The following is a 6,848-nucleotide window of genomic DNA, read 5'->3' as shown; positions in this document are numbered from 1 at the left end:
GAGAAAATGCTTTGTGGTTTAATCAAAATGATACCCACATGGTCTCAAATGAAGGCCCAGCTCTGCGGTTTTCTTTTCTTATTTGAGGCAGCGTATTGATCTGTCACCCAGGCTGGAGTGCAGTGGCACAATCAGGGTTCACTGCAGCCTCAGCCTCCTGGTCTCAACCGGTCCTTCTCCCTCAGCCTCCGAGTAGCTGGGACTACAGGCGTGTGCCACAACGCCCGGCTAATTTTGTAACTTTTTGGAGACGACGTCTCCCTGTACTGCCCACGCTGGGTCCTGTGGTTTTCAAACTTTTGGGGGAGGTGGGGTGAGGAGACTGGCGCGCGGCCCGCAGCCGCCGCCGCGGCAGGAGAGGGGAATGGAGGGGGCGGGCGGGGGGAGGAGGACGGACCACCGGCGGCCTCTCCACCGCTCCCACCTTCCCCCGGGGGCTGCCGCGATGCCAGCGCAGCTGGGGCGATTTTCAAACTATTATTGAGATCTCTAAGTATAGCAGAAGTGGTCCAGAGGTTCCGTGAACTTTCATGAATTGCATTTTTATTTTTTAAATGCTTTTCTTTTCTTTAATGAAATATTTCTTAGAACATGTACACACATATAGAATCGAATAATTGTACCAGATTTGTTAAGACAAACAGCAGAGCCCTGCCCCCATCGTCTTCCCCTCTCTGGAGGCAACGTTTTCACCTCTTTTAGCTGTTTCTTCTGGCATTTACCTTCACATCTCCGGCCTTCCCCCAGCTGCAGCCCTCCCCACAGGGCAAGGGGTCCAAGGGGATTTGCCCATGCAAAGCACACTTGCCCAGGATTAGACCATATTCTGAATACCTAGGACCCTGGAATTCCCTGCCCAGCTTCCTCCTTGGGTCTGTCCTCCCCAGGGAGACCTTCTGTTTTTTCCTGCACAAACTTTTATTTTTCCTGGAATTAATAATCTTGTTTTTTAAAATCATTTATTTTCTATGTATTTCTCACAAACTCTACCTCAAATTCTTCCCCCAGTTGCTTAAATTTCCTCTCAGAATATCTAGATATAGCAGAGAATTCTCTCCATTTCATCTTCTTGAAGACATCACTGCTGGAGACTGCTGACCTTCTCCAATCTGACTGTTCATCCCCTCACCTTGCTGCACATCTGGCAACCTGGCATCTCTTTTCTCATTCTCCTGGGCATGTTCTTTGCCTCATTCTTTTGTTGTTGTTGTTTTGTTTTGAGACAGAGTCTCGCTCTTGTTGCCCAGGCTGGAGTGCAGTGGCTCACTGAACCTCTACCACCCGGGTTCAAGCTATCCTCCTGCCTCAGCCTCCCAAGTATCTGGGACTCCAGGCATGCGCCACCACACCCGGCGAATTTTTGTATTTTTAGTAGAGATGGGGTTTCACCATGCTGGCCAGGCTGGACTTGAACTCCTGAGCTCAAGTGATCTGCCTGCCTCGACCTGGCAAAGTGTTGGGATTACAGGCGTGAGTCACTTTGCCTGGCTGCCTCACTCTTCTGTGGGATTTTTATTTGCCATATTCTATGCTTTTCTTTTCTTTTTTTATTTTTTTGACATGGTCACTTATTTTTATAACAATACATATACCATGTTATCACCATGGAATGTAAATTCAGGTTAGACAAGAGAATTTCACAAGTGTAATGGCATTCTGTAGTATAGAAAAGCATGTGTATAATGTCTGTTCAAACCAGCTTGCTTATAAATCATTAATTCCATTATAGGTAATATGTTTAACGTTTACAATTCTTACGGAGAAAATAACATTTTCTCCATTTAAAAAGTGTTCTTCAGTTACCTTCCATGAGTGCTTGAAATACATGTTTCTGTTTCAAGATGACATTTAAAAATTATCCTTATATTACAGCAGCAAATACAGATATCTACAATTACAAAAGAACTAAACTAGAATTCATAAGTTATTCTCATGTTTACAGTTATGATTCTTTAATAAATGCTACTACTATGCAGCTCTATTGTAAGCTTCCTAGATTTGATTTAAACACATACACATATATACTTTCAGCTGTGGGAGGTTTTACAAGTTATATTCCATGCACTTTTTTTTTTTTGTATTTTTAGTAGAGATGGGGTTTCATTGTGTTAGCCAGGATGGTCTCAATCTCCTGACCTCGTGATCCACCTGCCTTGGCCTCTCAAAGTGCTGAGATTACAGGTGTGAGCCACCGCGCCCAGCCTCCATGCACTTTTTTGACAGAGTTCTAAAAGAGCCAGCCAGTCCACAAGACAGGCAGAAAAAAGTTAAATTAACTGGGGCAAATAGAACTCATATAACATCCAAAACATGCAAGATTCTGCAGCAAACTAGGAGTACTTCAGGGTTGGTTTGCTATCTTCTTTAGAACTAATTTTATCCTAACAGTTTAAGAAGGTGGACATTTCAACACCATCTTTTAGGTGACATGTTTCTTTTGTGTTAATTTGACTCCCCTGAATGACCTAGTTAGTAAACTAGTCACTAGTAATTCAGTCACCAGGCAAATCAAGCCTGCAAGAAAGAAGGCCAGTATTCACAATGCCGTGTTATCAGCTGAACCCACTCAAATAGTTTATTTTAATCATTAATATGTAGCTTCAATAATGAGATGTGGACGCGGTGGCTCATGCCTGTAATCCCAGCACTTTGGGAGGCCGAGGTGGGTGGATCACTTGAGGTTAGGAGTACAAGACCAACCTGGCTAATATGGTGAAACCCCGTCTCTACTAAAAAAAAAATACAAAAATTAGCTGGGCGTGGTGGCGATCACCTGTAATCCTAGCTACTCAGGAGGCTGAGGCAGGAGAGTCACTTGAACTCGAGAGGCAGAGGTTGCAGTGAGCAAGATTGTGCCACTGCACTCTAGCTTGGGCAACAGAGCAAGACTCCATCTCAAAAAAAAAAAAAAAAAAAAAAAAAAGAGATGTCTAACTAAAGTAAGCTCCTCCAACAAAACCAAGATAGCATTTCTTCTACGGTGTAGGTTTTGCCCAGAATTCCCGATACATGGAATGATAGCCCATACCAACAGTCATTGCTCCTTCAACAAAGCCTTGGGCTGCCACACACATGTGGATCAGATGATGCAACATTTTAGTATTTCCCCTGCTCTTCAGTTTGTATAATACATATGCAACAATTGCTGCAAAACCTGCCATTCCAGTGGGGATGAATGGTGCCTCTTTAGCTTTTCAAATAAGTTTGGATCCCTAGATTTTCATCATATGAAGGGAAACATCTGTATTTGTTGACACAGTGATTGCTTGAATAATCTCCCTAGAGCGAGAAAACCCCCTCACACACCAACCGGCTTCTGATCCCCACCTGTGCCTGTGTTTTTCTTGATTTATAATACTCCCGCTTTTTTGAGGAGACCATCATCCAGAAGCTTCCTGAGAAAGGGAGCAGTAAATTATTTTGGAACTTTGCGTTTTTGCTGTTGTCATTTTTCAACTGTGACCCTTGGATTGGTTGTTTGGCTGGGTAATGAATTCCTTCAGAATTATGAAGGCATTGCTACATGGTCTTCTAGCTTCTGACACTGCTGTGGAGAATGAGAAGTCTGAAGCCTTTTAATTCCTTGTCCTTTCTAGGTGACTTTTCCCCTCTCTGAACTTCTTGTTTCCAATGTTCTGAAATTGCAGTGATATGTCTTGGTGAGTGGCTATTATCTTCCATTGTGCTGGGCACTCAGTGCCCCTCACTTTTGGGGAATAATCTTGAATCATCCTATTGGTGATTTCTTCCTATTTTCTCTATTCTTTCCTTTTTGGAACTCCTATTACTTGGACAATGGACCTGTTGAACTGGTCCTTCTAATTTCTTATTTTTCTCTCTAGCTTTGCATCTTTTTTACTTTATTTTCTGGGAGATTTCCTCAACTTTATCTTCCCATTCTTCTGAGTTTTTCCATCTTTTAAAGGTTTTAATCACTTTCACTTTATTTTTATTCTCCGAATTGTCCTTTTTATAGCATATTTTGTTTCAGGGTTATCTTATCTCAGAAGCTGTTACTGATAGTTCTGTCATTTTTTTTTCTCTACATAATCTCTGCTCCAAATTTCTTTTTCTTTTGTTTTGGTCTCTGTCTTCTATATTAGATTCTTTTCTTGGAGGTCTTAGACTCCTTGGTTGTCTGCTCACACTTAAGGATGGGTCACCTAAAAGCTGACTGGAAGCATTTGTTCTCTGTTCAGGTGGTACATGGATGGGCTTGTCAGTCATGAGCTTCTTTTTTTTTTTTTCAGACGGAGTCTCACTCTGTCGCCAGGCTGGAGTGCAGTGGCGTGATCTCAGCTCACTGCAACCTCCAACTCCCTGGTTCAAGTGATTCTCCTGCCTTAGCCTCCTGCGTAGCTGCGATTACAGGCACGTGCCAACACGCCCGGCTAATTTTTGTATTTTTAGTAGAGACAGGGTTTCACCGTGTTGGTCAGGATGGTCTCAATCTCCTGACCTTGTGATCCACCCACCTCAGCCTCCCAAAGTGCTGGGATTACAGGTGTGAGCCACCACACCCGGCCAGTCATGAGCTTCTTTGCACAGTGATCTGGCTGGGAACTTCTGATGTCAGCATTCCTAGGTTTTCCTTCTCAGTGTGGTCAGACAGAGGAGATTGCCCATCTCTGGTCTGGCACAACCAATTCCATTTGCCATAGAGTTCTGCCGCTGCCTTAGGATCTGTCCTTCTCTAGTGTAAGTGAGTAATCTCTCATCCATCTGGCTTCCACTTCTGAAAATATTTTGCTCGTCTCTTCTCCTGTTTCCCTGTCCTTATGGATTTATGCCTTTAAAAATCCCTTGGCTACATGGGTTTTCAGTGGACAAATTTGGATGCTCATGTTCAATCTACCATTTTTTACCCAGAAACTTTAAGTATATTTTAACTGGTTTTAAAATAGTAGTTTAAAAATATACATATGAATATCAAATTTCTGGGTTCATGAAAACAGGCTTGTTGACATTAAATGACTTTATAATAGAAAGCTATCATGAAATTAAACTTATAATGTAAATGTGTACTAATAAAATATTGCTTTTTTTTGAGACAGGGTCTCATTCTGACACCCAGGCTAGAGTGCAGTGGTGTGGTCTCGGCTCACTGTAGCCTCTGCCTCCCAGGCTCAGGTGACCCTCCCACCTCAGCCTCCTGAGTAGCTGGGTCTACAGGCATGTATTACCACACTGGCTAATTTTTGTATTTGTTGTAGAGATGGGGTTTCACCATTTTGCCCAGGCTGGTCTCAAACTTCTGGGCTCGAGCCGTCTGCCTGCCCTGGCCTCCGAAAGTGCTGGGATTACAGGCGTGAGCCACCATGTCCAGCCAAAATATTGCTTTTGTTTTGGTTAGTGAGGGTCTGCATACAGCTTTGCTTGAGAAGGGGTTGGGTGATTTTTTGTTTGTTTGTTTTAAAGTTTGTAAACATCTCTCCCGGGCTAGCGATCACCAAACTATGGCCTTTGAACTGTGGTGAAGGTGTTGTAGCCGGCCACCAAGCTGCTCGTGTGAGAGGGGCTAAGAAGGACTAATGTCTACAAGAGGGAGCATCCCAGTCCCAGGGGAAAAGGGTATGCAAATAAAGGAGACTCACCATTGACAAAGGAAGAAGAGTTATTTCCTAACACCCTCCAGTACCTTCCTAATTGCTAGCCCTTTGCCCTGGTTGCCCACAATCCCTCCACAGTCTCGAGCATTACAAAACATTGCATTTTAAAAAATCAACTTTATTGAGGTGTAATTTACATATAATGGCAATTTTAAGTGTACAATACAATGAATTTTCACAGATGTATCCAGTCATGTGACCATCACCATCATCATTTCCTTTACTCAAAAACCTTTGTGCCCTTTTGCAGTCAGTCTCCTCCCTGCTGACCTGGCTTCTGGCATCTACTGATCTGGTTTCTATCACTATTGTTTTGCCTTCCTAGAATTTCATATAAGTGGAATTATATAGTTTGTAGGAGTTTGTATCTGGCTTGTTTCATTAGTATAATGCTTTTGAAATTTTCCATGTCATTGCATGTGTCAGTAGTTCATTCCTTTGTCATGTGAAGTGGTATATTTCATCACACGGACATACTACAATTTGTTTATCCATTCACCAGTTGATGGACTGTTGTGTTTGGGTTTTTTTCAGGTTTATCAATACTTCTGTATAGATTTATGTGTGGACATATGTTTTATAATAAATATTTAAATACTTAGGAGTGGGATTGCTGGGCTATATGCTAATGCATATTTTTTAAAAACCTGCTGGCTGGGTGCGGTGGCTCACGCCTGTAATCCCAGCACTTTGGGAGGTCGAGGCAGGTGAATGACCTGAGGTCAGGAGTTCGAGACCAGCCTAGCCATCATGGTGAAACCCCATCTCTTCTAAAAATACAAAAATTAGCCGAGCATGGTGGCGGGCACCTGTAATCCCAGCTACTTGGGAGGCTGAGGCAGGAGAATCGCTTGAACCCGGGAGGCGGAGGTTGCAGTGAGCCGAGATTGCACCACTGCACTCCAGGTTGGGCGACAGAGCAAGACTCCATCTCAAAAAAAAAAAAAACTGCCAAACTCTTTTCCAAAGTGGCTGTACATTCCCACCGGCAATATACCATATAAGAGTTTCACTTTCCCAAAATCTTCCTCAACACTTGGTATTGTCACACTTTTTATCATCTGACTCATTCTTATCAGAGTTGGGATCTCATGGTTTTAACTTGTATTTCCCTAATGCAATGACTAATAAGTTGAGAATCTTTTTATGTGCTTATTTGCCATTTGTATATTTTCTTTTTTTTTTTTCTTTTTGAGACACAATCTTGCTCTGTTGCCCGGGCTGGAGTGCAGTGGCACG

General features: G+C 42.8%; 1 protein-coding gene and 1 pseudogene across 2 annotated transcripts in view, besides 1 other annotated feature; one reads left to right on the top strand and one right to left on the bottom strand.

Moving 5' to 3' along the window:
- FAM186B (family with sequence similarity 186 member B) overlaps positions 1-6,848 on the top strand; it is a 39,886-nt gene that overhangs the window by 168 nt on the left and 32,870 nt on the right. The window lies entirely within an intron of this gene.
- Positions 175-224: a silencer, noted in NCBI's record as "silent region_4440". NCBI's record gives its function as "represses an Ori minimal core promoter by ATAC-STARR-seq in GM12878 lymphoblastoid cells {active_cell/tissue: GM12878}" and the evidence as "EXISTENCE:reporter gene assay evidence [ECO:0000049][PMID:35858748]".
- HIGD1AP9 (HIG1 hypoxia inducible domain family member 1A pseudogene 9) lies at positions 2,916-3,324 on the bottom strand (annotated as a pseudogene).

The sequence above is a fragment of the Homo sapiens genome, chromosome 12 (genome assembly GCF_000001405.40).
Source record: "Homo sapiens chromosome 12, GRCh38.p14 Primary Assembly".
Lineage (NCBI taxonomy): Eukaryota > Metazoa > Chordata > Mammalia > Primates > Hominidae > Homo > Homo sapiens.
This window is presented reverse-complemented; position numbering and strand designations above follow the sequence as displayed.